The 21,715-nt window shown below is 37.9% G+C and overlaps 1 protein-coding gene and 1 long non-coding RNA gene across 3 annotated transcripts in view; one reads left to right on the top strand and one right to left on the bottom strand.

The window, feature by feature from the left end:
- SLC35F1 (solute carrier family 35 member F1) overlaps positions 1–21,715 on the bottom strand; it is a 410,408-nt gene that overhangs the window by 154,895 nt on the left and 233,798 nt on the right. For both annotated transcript variants that reach the window (NM_001029858.4, NM_001415931.1), the window contains exon 2: positions 8,157–8,332. In NM_001029858.4, the coding sequence (NP_001025029.2) occupies positions 8,157–8,332 (176 nt within the window). The remainder of the gene's footprint in view (positions 1–8,156; positions 8,333–21,715) is intronic.
- LOC107986523 (uncharacterized) overlaps positions 1–21,715 on the top strand; it is a 48,119-nt gene that overhangs the window by 16,530 nt on the left and 9,874 nt on the right. The gene's annotated exons all lie outside the window — the stretch shown is intronic.

Here is a 21,715-nt window from a genome sequence, read left to right as displayed (position 1 = left end):
ACACTAGCAAGTTCCTTGATGCAGGTACAATTTTTGGGAAGCAGTATTCATTCTTGTTGTCTAAAAGGATGCCACAAGGAAGTGGGAAGTTTTACCAGCATGTCCTAATATCTCTAAGCGACTGAGGGAATAGCTGCATATTGTAAACTCTAGGCCCAGTGATAACTTATTCCATCATGGTAACGGCCGAGTTATAGTAGTTAATTTTCTTTTTTTTCCCCACTTCAGTCAGATGCATTGAAGTACAACTTAGATACAATAAAATTCTCTCCTTTTAAGTGTATAGTTTGAAGAGTTTCAACAAATGTATATAGTCAGGTAACCTCTACAAAAATCGAGATACACAGAACATTTCCATCCTCCCAAAATTTCCTTGTGCCCTTTGCAGTCAGTATCCTCCCACCACTACCCCACGCTCTGGAAACCACTGATCTATTCTCTGTCCTTATAGTTTTGTGTTTTCCAGAACATTGTATAACTATGCACTATGTAATTATATACTATGTAAACTTTCACGTCTGGATTCTTGCACTTAGTGTAATGCTTTTGAGATTAACCCATACTATTATACGTATCAGTAGCTTATTTCTTTTTATTGGTCAGTGACATTCCATTGCATGAATTAACTGTAATTTTTTTATCCTTTCATAAGCTGATGGGCACTTGGGTAGTTTAGTTTTTTGCAATTATGAATAAAGATGCAATGAGTATTTGTATGTAGATCTTTGCAGGGACATTATGTTTTCATCTCTTGTAAAAATGCAATTGTTGAGTCACATGGCAAATGTACGTTTAACCTTATAAGACAATGACAAGCTATTTTCCAAAGCAGCATTACCATGTGTATTCCCACGTACAGGTGGTATATGAGAGTTCCAGTTGCTCTACCTACTGGGAGGAAGTTTTGCTAGAAGTGGATTCTAATTTTCTTGTGTGACTTTCTCTACCAATTTCCCAGCATGATATTTGTATAACATCACAGCCCCAAATCTGTTCTCTTTTCCTAGACAACATAAGCATAATTCCCATGAAGCATAATTCCCATGAAGCATCTACCAAAGATTCATCTCAGAAATCCCTGAGGTGCAATCTTTATACTGTGGGGACTAGAATTCTCCAATCATACTTAGGAAGTAAAAATAAATGCAACCTGACAAGAAATAGGGGTGGAGATTTGCCAAGTAATTTCCCACAAGGGAGACTTTTTAAGAGGCTCCAGTGAATATTACCTCACCAGACTTAGGTAAGTGACAGTACTATTTCTCCCATGACTCCCAAAGGAGTTATAATTTAGTATTTACATTTGCCAAATGCTTTCTCATTATGCCCACATGCTAATAACAGTCCCTTCTCAGTGATTTAGTCAGTGTTACCCAGAGAACTGAGAACTGGGCTGTGAGTGAGCAGAACTCGGGCTTCTGCTCTGAGAAAATCCTAGGTCCTGGTTTAATTCTTTCACTGCTTTTTTTTTTTTTGACTGCCTATGGGAAGCATTAAAGAAAACTGCAATGAAAGTAGGGGGCAAAGATTCACAGAGGCAGAGGCACATTCACGGATCTGGGGAGGTGAGATCTTCAGGTGACTCTAGGGTCTGATATACGGGGAAATGCTGGCTACCTAAGTTTCCAAGCCTTTGTTGTGGCTATCTGATAGGCCTATTTTATTTCACATGAAATTCTCTATTTCTTCTAATTATGTAAGTATTTTACATGTGGTATTGGTCATGGAGAATTTAGCCTATGTAATTGTATGTAAGAAATGTAGTATTTCTGTAGAGAACAAATACGAAGCCTTTATTGAGTTGGAAGAAACAACAATTACCTCTTAATTAATGCTTCCTCGGCTACCACCCCCAACCTCCTCAAAAAAAAAAAAAAATAGCAGGATACTTTCTTGGCACAAACTCTCAGAAGAATTTTTATTTAAAATGCCAAGGTTTGTGGGACTGGACCATTGGGTCATGATTTGCGTCCAGCTGTATGCGTAGACAGGGCTGTCATATTTATATATTTCTCTTATCTCTTCTGCCCCACTTGAATATTCTGGGTGGAGAAAGGGGATGTAAGCAGAAGGGGCCAGGAGAGCACAGGTGCTTGAATACCTAACTAACTTCCTTGCTTCAGTCTTCGCACTTACAATTAACATTTGAACCTAGACCTCTAGGATTTCCATCTGCTAGAATTTAATGCTCAATGTGAGTATTTCTCATGAAGAGTAAAGCATGCAGTTCACTTTTCAGTATTCTTTCTTTGAAAAAAATCAAAGGGATTCTACATGGTGATATTTTTATGAGTGTTCTATTAGCACTATTAGAGACTTGTTTCATTTTTACACTCACACAAAGAAACAGATACATGATTCAATAAATAGTTTCATGTATATGTTTCAATAATTCACTGAAAAGCAAAACACATGCCATACTCATCAAATTGCTTTTAGCTGGAAGCTTGTCTTTTATCAAAATTGGAAGAGCTCGTAAGAACACTTTTCAATGAAAAAGCAAAACTTGCAGAACCAGTCACCAAGAATATTGAAGTTGTTAGTACTCATAACACTCAATGATGGCAACATTTTCTTTTATTTTCAGGGTCTGTATATAAAAAGAAGCAGACACTTATGATTCTAGTCATGCTTTCATTACTGATACCCATTTTTTCCCTACCACTATGAGTTGAGGAGGAAATTGAGGAGGAAAACAGAGGCTAAAAGTGTTTTCTTTTTACCCTCAGCATCCTGCCTTTACTCCTCCAGCAATGAGTAAATTGCTGGTGTGAAAACAAAAAGGAATTAGAGAAACAAGAATGTGGAAAAATGGTAGCAGAAGAAAGGGAAGAGGAAATTATTGCTTATTAAAGTTTTTATGATTTATATACACTCAGAAGTTAAAAACTGCTAAAAGAGGAATCATGGGTATCTATTATTTAAAAATTTAAAGGTAGCTCTGGGAAGCAGCACGATTTTTGTCATAACAGACAAGAGAAACTTATGGGCAAAAAGTTAGATGATACATGTTTTCTTGATAGGAACTGTATCCTAGTTTCACCTTTGTCTTTAAAAGTCTGTCACATTTCTTACTCTTACATCACAAAAGCAAGTCCTGGTGGTCTTCATTGGACCCCAGTCTGTCCTCGCCTCTGGTTCATAATCTCAGCATTTTGTTCCTCTGCTTCCTGATTTCAGCTGTAATTACGTGGAATTTTAAGAAGATAGTAGATACAAGGAGAAGTCATCTTTTGAGAGTTCCCTAGGCAAACGCATACGTTTTTGGAAGCTTCACTGTACTTTCTTAGTCACATTCCTTAGTCACTTTGTATGAGTTGTTTGGATTTCAGGCTTTATTTCAGTGGGTACATTTTAATTTCCTAACTAACTTCTCAAAGTGGTTACAATTAAGCTATTGATGTAACAGTTATCTCTGTTTTACCTAAATTCTCAAACTTCATACAATGTCAACAAAACTACTTTGGTGGAGTACATTTCTTTCTACAAAGTTGTATTTCTGAAGGTCTTTGTTATGAACAGTAAGCACTTTTTTTTTTTTTTTTTTTTTTTTTTTGAGACAGAGTCTCGCTCTATGGCCCAGGCTGGAGTGCAGTGGCGCGATCTCTGCTCACTGCAAGCTCTGCCTCCCAGGTTCACGCCAATCTCCTGCCTCAGTCTCCCAAGTAGCTGGGACTACAGGCGCCTGCCACCACGCCCAGCTAATTTTTTTGTATTTTTAGTAGAGACGGGGTTTCACCATGTTAGCCAGGATGATCTCGATCTTCTGACCTCGTGGTCTGCCCGCCTTGGCCTCCCAAAGTGCTGGGATTACAGGCATGAGCCACCACGCCCAGCCGAGCATTTTTTAAAAATTTTAGAACCATCTGGAAGAACACCTATATAGAGGTGTTCCAACTATAAAGAGGGCTAGACTTAAAATTTGCTCAACTGGATATGATATTTTGTAAGGAAGATAGTACCCAAATTTTTGTAAGAATCAATTAATAATCAAGGGCAAACTCAACTCCAATTCATTTTGGAACTTACAGTGGAGCCTGCTGCTTCAGAGTCTTTGATCGTGACTCCAGTGAAATTTTGATAGGGAGAATTCAGTTTGACTTTGAAGTCAAATTTAAGCAAGGCTTTCATAATAACCTCACCCTTAATGCTCTTGAAAGGTTTCTTGCATTTAGCACATTGTTTTAAATGTGACAATCATTAAATTTTAGAAGATACATGATTAAAACTATAAAGAAAGATTTGTTTAAAAATGTATTTCTGAGTCTAACTTCATGCTGATAGGTGGCCCAGAGTGGCAACACGTGGCTCAGACCTAACTTGCAGCTCTCGGAGCGGTGAGAAAGGAGAACTTGTGACTATGAGACTCTCCCTTGCACACACCACACTTTCCATCCTTCCCTCTTTGTTGTTCATTCTTTCCCAAATTTTCAGGTGCCTGACTAGAAAGATTAGTATGTCTCCAGAACATAGTACTGAATCAGCCTATAGAAAATTAATGTAATTATTATGTTCATTTCCAGATGTTAGCTTAATGCCAGCCTATTAAAACTTCTAAAGATGAAGCTTAAAACAAATAATCATTCTGAGGAAACACCCAAATGAAGACATGCCAGCAAACTTAGTGAGGATCTGAGGCAATGGTAAAAATCTCCAGAGGGTATTTTAGAAATTGATTCTCTCCATCACAGACTGGTATCGGTAGTCAGAATTTCCCTAGCCCTCTTCAGCCTTTCCTTTCTAAAGAGCCTCCAAATTCCTTGCTGCTCCTAGTCCTTAGCCTCTTTCCATTGGTCTTTCTTCCTGTCCACCTCCAACCCTCTCCCTAAATCGTCTATGACATCCTTGTGATGGTTAATGAATGTCAACTTGATTGGATTGAAGGATAGAAAGTATTGTTCCTGGGTGTGTCTTTGAGGGTGTTGCCAAAGGAGGTTAACATTTGAGTCAGTAAACTGGGAGACTCAGACCCACCCTCAATCTGGGTGGGCACCATCTAATCAGCTGCCAGCACAGCTGGGATAAAAGCAGGCAGAGTAACGTGGAAGGACTAGACTGGCTGAGTTTTCTGGCCTCTATCTTTCTCCCATGCTGGATGCTCCCTGCCCTCAAACATCGGACTTCAAGTTCTTCAGCTTTTGGATTCTTGGACTTATACCAGTGATTTGCCAGGAGCTTTGGGGACTTCGGCCACAGACTGAAGGCTGCACTGTTGGCTTCCCTACTTTTGAAGTTTTGGGATTCGGACTGGCTTCCTTGCTCCTCAGCTTGCAGACGGCCTATTGTGGGACTTCACCTTGTGATCATGAGTCAATACTCCTTAATAAACTCCCTTTCATATATACATCTATCCTATTAGTCCTGCGGCTCTAGAGAACCCTGACTAATACAGTCCTCCTGACCGCACAGTGGTATCTCACTACATCTTACACTGAGGGCTGGTTTCCTATTCAGGGTTTTGAAATTCAAAGGAAAAAAACCTCTCCTTTTTTTCAAAAAGGTCTCCGCTCCCTCCTCCTGCCTTCCCTGCACCTCACAAGGAGTGGCAGGGTGGGCCCTGAAGCCACACTGCCCTCACAGCCCTGCGTTGGATGGGCCTCTACTCCTTGCTCTCCTATATCCTCAAGCAGTTTCCTGGGCTGTCAGAGCCTTGGTATTCTCATTTATAAAATTTTGGATAATCATACCTATTTCCTTGGATTGATGGAATAAAAAGGATAATTTACATACATAGTGGCTAGTGCATTATAAAGGCTCAATAGATGGTACTGTAATTATTAACTCTAGGCATTTTACTACATTTCATCTTCTAAGCTTTTTTAGCCTCTACCTATAAATTATTGGTATGGTTGAAATAATTCTCCCTGCCCTTTAGAATGGCTTAACTTTTTTTTTCCTGATTCAAGTTTTTGTTAAATCCCTGGATTCCTGAAAAGTGAGATGTACAAGAACTCAAAGACTAAATACAGTGTACCATCTTGCAGTATAGTTTCAGAAAATTTTTAAATCCACCTATAAGCTGGAAGCCCTGCGCTTCAAGTTGTCCTGCCTTACTGGACCAAACCAATGTATTTCTTATTTTATTTTATTTTATTTTATTTTATTTTTTATTATACTTTCAGTTCTAGGGTACATGTGCACAACGTGCAGGTTTGATACATAGGTATACATGTGCCATGTTGGTTTGCCATCAACTCGTCATTTACATTAGATATTTTCCCTAATGCTATCCCTCCCCCAGCCCCTCAACCCCCAACAGGCCCTGGTGTGTGATGTTCCCCACCCTGTGTCCAAGTGATCTCATTGTTCAATTCCCACCTATGAGTGAGAACATGCGGTATTTGCAAACCAATGTATTTCTTAAATGATTGAAGTCTCATGTCTCCCTAAAATGTATTAAATATAAAACCAAGCTGCACCCCGACCACCTTGGGCACATGTTCTCAGGCCCTCCTGAGGGCTGTGTTAGGGGCCACGGTCACTCATATTTGGCTCAGAATAAATTTCTTCAAATATTTTACGCAGTTTCATGCTTTTTTTTTTTGACACTTAGATAACACATTTACATCATTCAAAACTATTAGCTTCCAAATCGCACTCAGGAAACATAGCTGAGATTCAACGTCAATAACTTTGGTGGCCTATTTTATTCTTAAAATAATAATGACTATTGATGTTAAACTTTAAAAAACAAGCATTGATAGCACCAATTTTTGAGAAGTAAATAAAATTAGCTTCTACAATACTTTAAACAAATTAAAATTAAACTGGAATTCAGTCTCAACTTGTTCATATTTATTCCTCCTATGAGATGAAGTCCAGTATTGGTCAAATCATTATAATTAAGCATTATTATTCTAGACAGTAATCCAAATAAATAAATGTAAAAATTAAATACTGATAGTCTTATACATGTTTCCTAAAAGTGTGACTATTGAAATTGATGTACACAGCTATACATGTGTCCTTATCTATTATTAATGTATATAATGGTCTCCAAATGTATTAATGATTTTTTTCAATGCACATTTTACAGCTGACAGCTACTATTTTGGGGAAAATTGATGGCTATTTCTGAGCCATAGATAAAAGTGCTTACACCTTGTGCTAACCATTTTGTGCTGCTATAATGAATAACATATTCCATAATACCTGAGACTGCACAATTTATAAAGAACAGAGATTTATTTCTTATGGTTCTGGAGGCTGGGAAGTCCAAGGTTAAAGGGCTCACATCTGGTGAGGGCCTTTTCGCGGCATCCTCACATGGCAGACAGGCACAAGAGCACACATGAGAGAGCAGGAGAGGGCAAGAGGGGGACCAAACCCACATTTAGCTGATGGCATTAATCCCATGATAATGGCATTAATCTATTCAGGACGGTGAAGCCCTCACGGCCTAGTAACATCTTACTTAATACTCCCACCTCTTAATATTGTCACAGTGGCAATTACATTTCAACATGAGTTTTGGAGGGGACATTCAAACCACAGCACACTGGATTCAGTGGCATATCACATGACTCTGAATCATCCCCTCCAGGGATGCACCCTGAGGTTTTTCAACTGCAACTGCCCCTTAAAAAAAGGTTTTCTTGCATTGGCTCTTGGAGGACTTGTTTTATTTCTTTAATTATTTCAAGTTTAAAATAATTTCACATCTCATCTGACCATTTGTGGTAGTTTTATTTTTTTCTTTTTCTGTGATGTTATTAATAGAGTTGTCTGTGTTTACAATTTGTATCTTTCTTGTGTCACTTTCCCACAGAACATATATTTGTCTGCAATTCCCTTGGATTTCTCAGAGCAAGCATTATTTAGAATATCTGCATCAGGCCTGTTCCAAGTTCCAGGGAAAAACTCATTTAATTCCACTGAGAGGGTAGAAGTAATGTTAACGGGGATTCAAAAAGTGAGCAATTGTACAGTTTTGCCTATACATGCAGTTCCCACTTCTTGCTGAATTCATATGATTAATTTTCTTTGTGATTTATTCACTCATTTTGTTTACTGTATTACTGCAAAATAGAAAAGTAAGATCTGGGGTTTTCAATGATCTTAACTGATGCTTAAGTGACAAAACGTTATCTGGTCATGGCTCATCTTTTTTTTAGGTGTTTGTAAAAGTTATATTCCTGGTGCTTTTGTGAGCTTACCTTGTCTGACGGCTAGTGTGGTGGTATAGACCAAGAAGAGAAGAATGTAATTGAGGAAACTCTGGAAGACTGGTGTGTTGGCGTGGAAATCTTCTGACAGATACTTGCTAGTCAAGCCAATTCCACAAATAAGGAGGGATAACACCTGGCCTAGGGCCACAGAGATTAACATCTCCCTGAGAAATAAAGGAAAAAAAACACAGCAAAGGTCAGCAGGAAGCCCATTAAAACAATAGCAATTAAAACTTTTTGAGCACTGGTAGCATGCACTGGATTAAGTGCAATTAAATATTATTCCCTTTAGTCCATCAAAGCAATCCCTCGAGGAAGGTGCAATGATTACTGAGATTTTACAGAGGAGGAAACCAAAACTTAGAGTGGTTAAGGAGTTTGCTCACAGTCATGTAACTAGGAAGTGGCAAAACTGGAATTTGAGACCAAATCTCTCCGAAAGAGCCTGGCTTCTAGCTACTGACCTCTGGGTGCCAATGGTAGTGGGAAGGGGGTGGGGAAAGAACATCATCTTCATGCTCACCATAGCATTAATGAAATATTTAGTGATGGTGAGAAAGTACCTGAACACTGACTAGGAGGGACCATATTCCCACCTCATCCTCAGGTTCTCGTACCAATAAAGGGAGACTCTTTTCTTTATAGATTGAAATCCCAGATCCAGAAACCCCTAGGTGAAGGGGCTACACAAATCCCTGAAAACCAGAAGGACCATCTGCTGTCCATTCCCAGACTCTAGAACTCAGTTTGCTCTAGGAAGCTTTGATGAGCATTAGGTGTCTGCCATCTTCTGCTCAAGTTACAATTGCCTACACACTAAAACTGCTATTCGTGAAAGAGATTCAGTACTGTGGTGGTGTAATACAACCTTTCAAATTATGCCAACTTATTTTTTGTGGCTTTTTTCATAGGCGCTGCCCCTATAGACCTCTGTAGCAGGGACTACAGGCAAGGGTCAAGGCGTTAATTTTGCATACAAATAAAATGCCCTCGCAAGCTTTATGGTCACATACACCCACATGCTTTTACACAGAAAAAGCCCCTGCAAATACAAAGTAGATTTCTGCCCTCCCTGAAAGTCACATCTGACTTGTCTGGTTTATTTATAGAAACAGTAATATAATAGAAGCAAGCAGTAGTATTTCTTTCATTGAAAGTTTTATTTTATTTTTAATTGACACATAATAATGGTACATATTTATGCAGTACAGTCTCATGTTTCGATACATGTTCACATTGTATAATAATCAAAGCAGAACAATTGTCAGATCAAAAATTTATCATTTCTTTGTGGTGAGCACATTCAAAATCTTCTAGCGCTTTTGGAATATACAATATATTATTGTTAACTATATCACTCTAGTTTGTAATGCAGTATGATTTCTAAACAAAAAGCTTTAGGCAAAGGATTTGCGGTGTTACATATTTACTCCCCCATAACAGATGTGAGTCCATTTTTCTGGAACGAGCACAGAGTCCTGGGCAGTACTTTGGTTGTATTTTGCTTTAAAAAAGAAAAAACATCAGCTATATTTTGTTCATTCCATCTGCTTCCATGAGGAGGAAAAGTTGTGGTAAGGCATGTGGGCATGCAGAGAAGAATTTTCTGAGGTTAACCTATTTCCAGGTACTGGCTCCTGACCTCTGAATTCAATCTCTATAAAGAAGCCAAAGACATACTTTTAAACATCCATGTTTAAAATGTCAGTATGCTGCTTAAAATCTTACAATAGTTCCCCACAGAATGCAGAGATCTACAAGGTCTGTGGTAGAACATCTGCAAAGATGCCTGCTGACATAGCCTTTACATTCCTGCTGCTCTGCCAAAGGGAGGCAGGGGTCTCTTTCTCCTTTTCTGGAAGCTGGGCTGGTCTTGTGACTTGCTCTGACCAACAGAATGTGGGGGAGGGGATGTCATGTGACTTCTGGGCCTAAGCCTTACAAAGCTCTACAGCTTCCATTTTCTGCCCTCATAAAAGATAGCTTCCCTGTACTTCAGGTTTGAGAGACCATGTGGAAAAAAGAGAAATCCAGCCAGGCATCATTGTCCTGACAAGTGAGTGAGGCTTCTGGATTCTCCTGCCCCAGTCAAACCATGCCAACATATGCCACCATGGAGCAGAGATGAACCACCCCGAAAGATTGCTGCCTAATTGAAGAACTGTAAGAAATAATACATGAGGCTGTTTTAGGGCATGTAGATGTACAGTGGTTTGTTACATGACCAACAAATAACTGAAATCATGTCCTAAACGCTCTCCCTCCATTCCCACTACCTCTGGAACCTGACCCTCTGTTTCCCTTATTACTCCTCCATGAAGCACTTTCAGCCTTACAGAGCTACTTGCACTTCAGCAGTGAGATATGGTCTTCTGTGTCTGCATTCCCTTGTATAAGTTATTATTTCCAAAAAGTTCATTGCGCCTTTGCCAGTCTGATTCTTATGTATCTTTCAAGATTTGGCTTCTATGTCACTCCCTTTGAGAAGTGTTCCGTCTTCTCTTCCCTGGAATGCATCTCTTTGTTACTTCTATCTCATTGTATTGAAACTAATGCCTTTATACCTCTCGCCTCAGCTGGACTGTGATGCCTGTACCATGTTCTTCACTGTGTCTACAGCCAGGCAGTACCATTCAGAGGAAGTAGAAAATAGAGGGATTCAAAGACAGTGCAGAGGAGGCGTAGGCAACAAGAAACAGTTTATTGAAATAAAGGGGGTGATTAATAAAAAAAAGAAAGAAAGAAAGGTAGAGGTAAAAAGGAGTACCAGAATTAACTCAAACGATTTTAAAGGCCAGGCGCAGTGGCTCACACCTGTAATCCCAACACTCTGGGAGGCTAAGGCAGGAAGATCACTTGAATCCAGGAGTTCAAGACCAGCCTGGACAACATAGTGAGTCTTCATTTCTACAAAAAATTAAAAAAATTACCCAGGTGTGGTGGTGCATGTCTGTAGTCCCAGCTCCTTGGGAGACTGAGGCAGGAGGATTGCTTGGGCTTGGGAGGTCAAGGCTGCAAGTGAGCCATGATTCCACCATTGTACTCAAGCCTGGGCTACAGAGCAAGACCCCACCTCTTATAAAAAATTAAAGGTTTTTAAGACTGCCTAAGATAAGTATAATATCTACTGACAAAAATAATGATAAGGAGCTGGTTTTAGTGGAGAAACAATACATATTTTAGGTATATTGAACTTGAGTTGCCAGATGAACTTCCAAATGATCCAGCAGCATTAGTAGCATGGGATCAGAGTGGGATAGGGAGGTCAACCAGGAGATAAATATGCAGAGGTTATACTCATAAAAGTGATGGTGAAAATACTGGAAATGGATAATATCCCTAAGAAAGGGAGAGTAGGAGAGAAAGTAAGAGAGCCTTGGGAAATATCTGCAGAATCCCAAGGTTGGAGGTGGGTGAGGGAGAAGAAGCACATCACTGGAGTCGGAAGTGGTTAGAAGGCTAAGAGGAAGAGCAAGAGAGTTTTTTGGTGTTAAGGAAACCAAAAGGAAAGAGACATTCATGGATTGAATAGTTGTAATACTGAATGTTGCTTAGAGGGTAGAGAGAATGAGGACTGACAAGACATAATTTGTAGTCACTGCCATCCTTTAAGAGTTTTGGTTGAGTGGAGAATAACAGCCGTATTGGTGTCATGAAAACCAAGAGAACAGAGAGTTTCATGGAGGGGATAGCTAGTAGTGACTAAGTGAAAAGGAAATGGTGAGAAATTAGAGATGTTGACTTTGCAGAATTTTGAAGAATTCAAAAAATTCATGGAAGGAATTTGATATAGTCACCATGTAACATAATATCAATGATAGTTAAAATAATAATGTTTAAAATGATTTAAAAATTAATTTAGCTTATCCTATCACTGGGTCATTCTTGATTATTTGCATAATAACTTACATTCCTAAATGGAAGAAATATGAATAGAGTTACAACTAATATATAAGAGTTGTTCTTGATGCTGAGTATGTCTCCTGGAGAATGCTGTGTATGGAGTGCATCTCTTTGGGACAAGAAGGGTGAAAATTATTGCTATGACATGGATTCCTGCAGTTCTATAAATTACAACTATAGTGTTCAAAAACTTTGGCAATATGCTATGCCTTTCCTGAACAAAATCACACCACAAATAAATGACAGATTAGTTATATAAGAGAATACAATTTTAGTCTTTCTTATGTATATGCGCCAATATAGTATAAAATAGCATTCTATATGTCACACACTATGCATGCAAAGATGAACAAGACACAGTCCTTGTCACTGGGGAGCTACAAAACTAAGATTTGGGAGCTAGGTCCTCAAATAACTTAGTACAAAATGGAGCCGATTAAGCTAAAACAACAATAATAATTCATATTTAGTAAGTTCTTACTATGTGCCAAGCCATGAGCTTAGACTTACACATACTATCTTAGTTAATCCTCATAAAAACCTTATAAGGCAGCTATTATTACTGTTCGATTTTATAGATAAGTTAACTGATGCTTAGAGAAGTTACGCAAGCAGCCCAAGGTCACAGAGCTAACAAGGGGAAGAGTTTGGATGCAAACTAGGTTATGTGGTTCCAAATCTCAACTTTTTAATTATTATGCTATACTACTATTTTGGTGGCAAAAATATACTGTGTGTCCTGATTGAGTGCAAGAACTTACAGCTAGAAACCTAAGTGGTTGGTTTCCAGAAATACTCTAGAGGAGTTAAAGACAAAAACAAGTTTGGGACTGACCCTCTGATGAAAACTCTTCCATCAAGATATCTGTAATGTGTGCCTTTCAACAAGAGGTCAATACAAATCTATTCTTGTTTCTTCAGTCAAACAAAACATCAAGTCTGCTGTATTCAATTTCTGCTTTTAATTAATGGCCATGTCATTCAGCTGCTGCTGGTGTGATTTGATGGAGAATACAAATTATGGTTTTATTCGTCATGCTAATGAGCACGACATGTAAAACCGGAAGGAATGAAAGGAACCTTTTATCAGATTAGTTCATGAGTCTTTTTCCTACTGCAGGGAGCTAGATATTGTAGCTATTGCAGCCTGCACATCTGAGCTAGTTCCTGGAGTCACCAAATAAATCAGTAAATAAAAATAGAAATAAACCTAAATGCCTAAATGTTGACACTCTGCTAACTATACCCCCTGCCCTGCCATCTTGCCCTGATCAAATTCTCTTTCGTTCTCTATTAGCACAGGACAAATCCATTTGGCGATGTGTTGTACAAAAATGTTCTCCCTGCTCTCTCTGCCTTAGGATCTCTTTAGTTCATTTACTGTTGCACTATCCCTTCTAAATATTTTTTCCTTAGATAACTGCTATGGTAGATCTGTGGTCCTTTCACCTAACTCCTCATGGCCTTATGACAATGTCTTCTTCAGAGACCCTCTGTTTAGCCACTCCCTGCTCCCAAGGGTGAGGCAAGTGTCCTCACCTGCATTTCCCTATCACTATTGGCACTCACCATATTGTGTAGCTCATAAGCTCCTGAAAAGAAGGGAATGTATTTTATTCTTTTCTGTTTCTAGTGCCTTGAGGACTGCTGGACAGAAAGAAAACAGATGCTCAATAAACACAGGATGAAAGAGTGAACAAATTTATGAGTAAACAAATATCTGTAAATGAAAATGGCAAAGTCTTAGATTTGGAAGATGGTTGCTTATCTTACCTTGAAAAACTACTAGCTCTGAAAGACAAAAATCATGTTGTTTTTTACTGTATTCCATCTGCCAGTTAGACATTGAGATTAATAAGCTATTTTCTGGTGCTTTTCAGAACAAGCCTGGTAAGGTGCTATCTTGCAAAAATGATGCTAAATATGGTGCCGGTTGGAATTTTGTACAGCGAGCTGTAGGTTATTCATGTAGTATATGGAATAACACACCAGATGCATTCTAACATAAGAAACATAGTTCCTATAATTTTAGTGGCAGAAATGGAGAGGAGACTATGATACACATTTTCATCTTCTTTGTTTATGCATTTAAAAGGACATCCTATCCACTTTAAACTCAGAATGACTAGACAATGAAAAATGCATGAGTCTCAAGAAAAATAGTGCTGCTGGAAGCTAAATACCTGTTATAATAGAGCTTGTATTCATAAAGACTGACATAACCATTACCACCGGCACTTCGTTCTATTAAAGAAACAGACTTTAGAATTTTGAGAGTAAACTTGTGTTACAAATTAGATATTCAAAATAGTAAGATTTAAAATAAAGCATAAACTTAATCTTGTTTTCTTCTCTTAGTTATAAGAATACATTCTTTTAAAAGGTATGAAGAATTTCAACATAGTGTTACATAATCATATTGCTTGTAATTCTTTGCCACAAAAGTGAAACAATTATGTTATCATCTTGAATTACAGCACATCAACTTTTCTGTGGCGACATCTTCATTCTGATAACTATTCTCAGGAAAGTCATGTCAGATCTGAGTCAGCATATGAATTCAAACATGCATACATAATGAACACCTAAGTATACTGCCTGGACTAAAATCAATACCCCTTGAAAGTGGGAGAAGCGTGTTCTACCATGTTCTTTGACAAGATTCTTGTTTGCAGAAGTTAGGCCATTGACTTCTATAAGCTCTTTGCTGAAAGGTTTTTATCACATTCAAGCATTAATTAGACTTATATGTAAGAAGATTATTAGGCAAGAAGAAAATATACACCTCCAGAAATTTATCATTAATTGGGTATCTTTGCCTCACATTCTGCATTCATGGACTTGAATCTGTTCTTTGGCTCCATGGTATCCATTTTGTTTTTCTAATTAGATAAGAGAAACCAAGTAAGACGCAAGGAAGTGCTTTAAACATAATGTTTTACTGGCACTAAGTGTAGGAGATTTTTGAGACTGGTGTGAGAGGAGCGGTCACAGATGCTCATGGATGCTGTATGTTTTATGTTTACAGAAGTAACATAGAAAACTGAAAAGGCACCAAACAGGGAGCTGGAAGCCCCTGGCTCCATGAGTTCCACTAACTAAGCTCCGTGATTGCGCATATCTCTCACTCTGGGTTTGGGCTTCTTCATGTAAAATAAGGATATGATGATTGACACGTGTGTATGACACTTCTTATGCTCCCTTTCAATATTCATCCTTTTGATCTCACCTATCTCCAGTGTCTCTCAGCACTTACTCCAGCTCCAGTGGTCGCTGCCATGACCAACTCTGCATAGGCTATAACCAACATTATGTGGGCACAACCCAGGGGCCCTGTGTCCCCTGTTTCCGATGCCCAGGCTGTGTATCTCATGCTTTCTTTCCTGGGGATTCTCAGTTGATACAGAGGACCAGATCCTGCAGGAACCTGTTTCATGCCCACTCATGAGCAACTGGAACGTGCAGGGGAATTACTGCACCTGACCAGTAGGAAACTCTAGCAGACAGACACATTCTTCCCTCTTTTTCCTCTACACAGAATGCACTGTGAAGCAGTCATTTATACTGAAGATGGCCCTGACTCACAAGGTTCTCAGTGTGTACCCTGCACCCCTGTGCTGTGTCTCCCTCTTTGCCTTCCTCAATCCTGCTCCTTGCGATTGTATGCCTTAATAAAGTAGAACATACAAGCCTCTATCTGTCTTCTACAGGACTCAGGCTAACATAATGAGCTTTATGTTTTCTTCTACTCCACAATTCAGACTTACTTTTAGAAGATACTGATCTGTGCACATCAACTCTTGGAATTTGTATCTTTGATCCTAAAATCTATTCCTTTTATGAATTTGATTAAACTCTTTGGTAGCCAAGTTACCCGCAATGTTTATTCATTTATTATGTGCAAACTCTGTGGGTTTTGGGATTAGCCACAGAGAAACAAATCAGTCAGTAGCATTTGCCAAGTCCTGCTGGGTGCAGGTTATGAGAAAGGAATGCTTGGCCCTGCCTCCAGGAAGTTTAGAGGGAGCATGAAACATAAATAAATTAAACTAAACAGAGAATATAAAAATAACCATGTAGTCAAATAAATTTATATGAAACTGCTGGAAGTTGGGATAATTTTAGTTTTTAAAAGTGGACAAAGCCAATCTGAAAATGTTTTCTAGAGAACATAGTTTTGAGTCTTTGTTTTTTAAATAATGAGAGAGACATAATTTGAGAAGTTGGCATGTCATCACAGGAAAGGGAATGCCCTACTGTCTCAGAAGCAGGGACTGACATGGAATCACTTGGCTGGTCAGTGAGAAATCATAATAATAGAAGATATGGGTAAACAGAGGTAAGCACAGAGGAATTTAAAGTGCAGGGTAGAGTTTTAATTCAGAAGAAATCATTCTTTGACATTTTCGAGCAAAAGACATGAAGTAAGCACCAGCCATAATGTCCTCATATTTATCTGCTCATTCCATTAGTTAGAAACAAATCCTGCTTTTATTATGGCTAAAAAAAGAGTTTCAGTAAGAGGCAAGATTGAAGACCAGATATCTCTTTCTGCAAATGAGGCATTCCCACTCACTCCATTAGCTCCATAATACAGGCCTGTCTGAGGGAGGCATGCTGGATGCATCTGTACTTTCATCCCAATATGGCAAAGCATCAGTGTTCTACGATTTGCTTCCTCAAATCTTCAGCATGTCTTTCTATGTGTCTTTCAACATTAATTGTCAACACAAAAATGTGTTTTAATCTGTGGCCATCCTGTTTTTCCTGTGTATTGCAGCCATCTTTACCGTAACAGGAAAAAGGGTTTTCCCAATAGTATAAGAATTTTATTTCTTAATAATTTGAGGCTAATTAAACAATTATTATTACATTTAATGAAAATTTTTTAAAGTAATGAGTTGCATAACTTTAAATGTAACCTCCCCACACCCCCAAACTGCAGAGGTTATCTTTATGCTATGGTTGCTTAGTTTTTTAATTGCTTGCTAACATTATGTCAGGCAATATCTTAAGGTATACTGTATACTTAGAACAAAGCCAATCTTTAATAAAAATGGAAATAAATCCATATTTAAAATTGTCTTGCTGACAGTTACAAATTTTAGTTAATACTTGTGTTGCATATGATTACATTTTATTTTATTTGTTTTACTCTGTAATGTGGCTGATGAAGAAGGGTCAGATTAAAAATAAGAGAAGTTTTAATTGACCTTTTTTGTGTTACTTACTTACAGTATATTTTGGTATTCTCTTTGACTTTCAGCTTCTCTGTAGGAATTATTTTTAAATCAACAATACTATTTCTTTGCAAAGTTTAGTTACTGAACTGATAAAACTGCAAAATCCTTTAACCAGATCCACATAAGTAAAGCAAAGTTAGGAAAAGCCCCTTCTGGTAGCAGAACATTCACTCCTGTGTCAAAGACTCTGATGTACCTTAAAAGAGTCACTCATCGAAAGAAGCCAGTCAGAAAAGACCACATGATTCCCTTCTTATGAAATGCACAGCACAGGTCAATCCACAAAGACAGGAAACAGCTGCTTGCTTAGGCTTGTGGGTATGGAGAGGTAGGGAGTGACAGCTAATGAATGGGTACGAATTTCTTTTTGAGGTGATAAAATTGTTCATTGATAGACTGTAGTATCGGTTGCATGGATCTGTATACGAAATACTAATATACTAAAAACCATTGAATTGTACACTTTAAATGGGTAAATTGTATGGTAAGTAAATTATACCGCAACAAATTTGTTATTAAAAATAAAGAGAAGGAAGGAAGAGAATAAAAGAGAGAAGAAAAATATAAGGAAAAGAAAAATAAAATTATGCAGCTGTTTGAAAAAGAAAAACAAGAAAGATTTGAATGTCTGACTTAACTGAGTGATTGCACAAGGGTCAATTTACATGTTAAAAATTAATGAAGCTTAATTTCTTATTTTTCCACATATAAAATAAATATTGTTTTCTTCCTTTTCACATATAAAGTAATGATAATATTTTCTTCCGTAATACTAGGGGATCACATATCCCCCTGGGATGTGAACTCTTACTTTAGAGACAACTGACAAGGTAAGGTTTTTTTTTTTTTTAACATTTTCAATTTTTTTTTTTTTTAAGTTCTGGGATACATGAGTAGGATGTGCAGGTTTGTTACACAGGTAAACCTGTGCCAAGGTGGTTTGCTGCACCTATCAACCTATCACCTAGGTATTAAGCCCAGCATGCATTAGCTATTTATCCTGATGCTCTCCCTCCCCCCGACCCCCTGCAGGCCCCAGTGTGTGTTGTTTCCCTCCCTGTGTCCATGTGTTCACATGGTTCAGCTCCCATGTATAAGTGAGAACATGCTGTGTTTGGTTTTCTGTTCCTGTGTTAGTTTGCTTAGGATAATGGCTTCTAGCTTCATCCATGTCCCTGCAAAGGACATGATCTTGTTCCTTTTTATGGCTGCATAGTATTCTGTAGTGTATGTGTACCACATTTTCTTTATCCAGTCTATCATTGATGGGCATTTGGGTTGATTCCATATCATTGCTATTGTGAATAGTGCTGCACTGAACATACGCATGAATGTATCTTTATAATAGAATGATTTATATTCCTTTGGGTATATACCCAGTAATGGGATTGCTGGGTCAAATGGTAGTTCTGGTTCTAGGTCTTTGAGGAGTCACTGTCTTCCACAATGGTTGAACTAAAAAGATAAGTTTTAAATCACTAGCTTGGTTGGTAAGAGCCTTTGCCATCTTCCATCAGAAAACCATCATGGTATAGTCAAATGAAAAGTTTTGAAACTAAATAGATCTGAATTTGGATCCTAACTGCCACTAACTAGCTGAGACTCATTTTCCTCATCTATAAAATGGAGATCATAATACATATCCCACAGGCTGTCATGAGGATTAAATAAGGTGGTTTATATAAACTGCCTCTGACAGTAACTACCTCATGGTCGATATTCAGAATAGTTTTAATTATCTTTAAGTATATTTGGAAGTACCAACACTTTCAGTGATTACTTAAATTTGTCTATAAAATTGCATTATGATACATTTAGAAAAAAACTAGAAAAAATATTGTTAACATGCATCTCAGCATTCTTTCCCCAAGTTCTGACTAAGAAGTTTATTCTCCAGTTTGGAAAGTTTAGAGGATTCCTGCCCTTTAGAAACTGAGGAAGGAAAACAAAAAAGAAATGAGGAATATTTAAGAAGTCTTACATGAAATGAGTATTATGAAACTAACAGATTTTAGTTTTAAATAGGAACTTTGACTCTAGTTCTCACACTTAATAACATCTTGGAGAGTAGGAAAGAGGGGGCAACCTTTTAAGGATTACTTTTGCTGTTTTTTTCTTTATACATTGCTAAATGACTTTGGCATTTTTCCTTACACAATGCTTTTAGCTTTGCATTTTGAATTATGTTAGTGAACTCTGAGGCCAAATGGCAAACATCTAACTTTAAAATCTATTGAATAAATAAAAACAAAGAAAGTATGCAAGTGGATCGGTGACTCACTTTCTCTTAAAATAAAAACCCATGTCAAATTTCATTATTTTGTCACTTATTTACTACATTTTTATGCTTGAAATGTAGTGTATTTAAAGATGAGCAAATTGGGAAAATTAGATTCCATCGAGTGCTGAACTTCTCCACACATAATTAAAACCTGCTTGAAAAATGTATAATCAACTGAGATAATCAATTATGCATTTAACTTGAAAGAACATGCAGAGAACCTGGATAAATAAGTAGGAGAGTTATGCCTCATTTTAGAAGACAAAGATATCTGGCCTTTGCTTTCAAGTAGTAAAAAAATTCAGAGTGGAGGCTAGCTGACATTTTTCTTCATCATTCTTTGCATCAAAAGATGACTCCAATTGCCCTGTTACAAGAACCTGACAATAAAAGAGTAATTTTATCTCAGCACTTTTGACAGACTGCCTTAAAAGATGCCTCAAAATTACATCGAAATCCAATTTTTGCAGCATGGGCTAGATAAAATTTATTCTAGACGAAAAGGTCTTCTATAAGAATGAAAATTGGATATTTACCATAATTAAATATTATAATGACGGGGAAGAAATTTGACCTGTTGAAATTTCTACTGCAGGGATGATTCTAACAAAAAAAATGAATAAATATAATTCTGTTACTGCCACTCCTGCTTCAGGCTTAACAGAGAAAAAGGCAATTAGAAGAAAGGGATGTCATAAAGTGGGAAATCTCAAAAGCTTCTCAGTTGCCATTAAGATGGAAGAGAAAAGGAGGATAGACCAGTGGGAAAGAAAGCCCTTGAGGCAGGGCAATCTAAGGAGAATGTTTAAAGACTTGATATGTTAATCTGTTCCATTCTAGTAACTATTTTACCATATATATGTGTATCTTATATATGTAGTAGCATCATGTTGTGTACCTTAAATATATACATTAAATTTATTTTAAAAAAGACAATGATGAGGGGGCTGGGAGTGAAAAGAAAAGACAACTCAAGCTGGTTTATGAGGTTTATAAAAAGCTCAACCTTTTTAAAAGCTACCAAGACCAAACATTGTGGTAAAACATCAGGCAAAACAAAAATGTCAGGCAGATTATAAACCTAAGATTTTTATTCGGAAAATAAGCAGTCTCATTAAATTCATATTCTATGTAAAAGCAATTAGCCTGTTTTAGGAGGAGCCACTGCCAAGGATAAAACTAAAAACCAGTCTCAGGCCCTCAAGTTGTGGGAACCACTGACACTTTCTTTAAGAACAAAGAAGGAAAAAAAATGAAGTATCACTTTTGTGAACATAAATGTACACTCCAGTTCACCTGGCTCAGTGGAATTCAGTGAAATCCAGTCCAGTGAAACGAGGACTGGTAGGGAAAGCAGTCATTTATTGTGTTCTCCAGATGAAACCATTTACAAACCATCTCGTAATGGACTGAATGTTTGTTTCTTCCCAACATTCATATGTTGAAATCCTACCTCCCCCACAATGTGGTGGTATTAGGAAGTGGAGCCATTGGATGCTGATTAGGTCATGAGGATGGAGTCCTCATGAACAGGGTAAAAAGGATCCCAGAGAACTCTCTTGCCCTCTTTCTGCCATGTGAGGATACAGTGGCAGTCTGCAACCAGGAAGGGGGCCCCTCACAGGAACCTGACCATCCTAGCACCCTGATCTTGGACTTCCATCCACTAGAACTGTAAGAAATAGGTTTCTGTTGTTTATAAGCCACCCAGTCTATGGTACAGTCATGTATCACTTAAGAATGAAAATGCATCCTCAAGTGATTTTAATAATTGTGCAATCATAGAGTGTACTTACGCAAACCTAGATGGTATAGCCTACTACACACCTATACTATTGCTCCTAGGCTACAAACTTGTGCAGCATGTTACTGTACTGAATACTGTATGCAGTTGTAACACAATGGTAAGTATTTGTGTATCTAAGCATATCTAAATATAGAAAAGGTACAGTGAAAATATGGTATAAAAAACAGAAAAATGGTACACCTGTATAGGGCACTTATCATGAATGGAGCTTGCAGGACTGGAAGTTGCTCTGCTTGAGTCAGTGAGTGAGTGGTGAGTGAATGTGAGGGCCTAGGACACTACTGGGCACTACTGTAGACTTTATAAACTTAGG

The sequence above is a fragment of the Homo sapiens genome, chromosome 6, assembly GCF_000001405.40.
Source record: "Homo sapiens chromosome 6, GRCh38.p14 Primary Assembly".
Lineage (NCBI taxonomy): Eukaryota > Metazoa > Chordata > Mammalia > Primates > Hominidae > Homo > Homo sapiens.
Note: the sequence above shows the minus strand (reverse complement) of the source record. Positions and strands in the feature narration are given on the sequence as shown.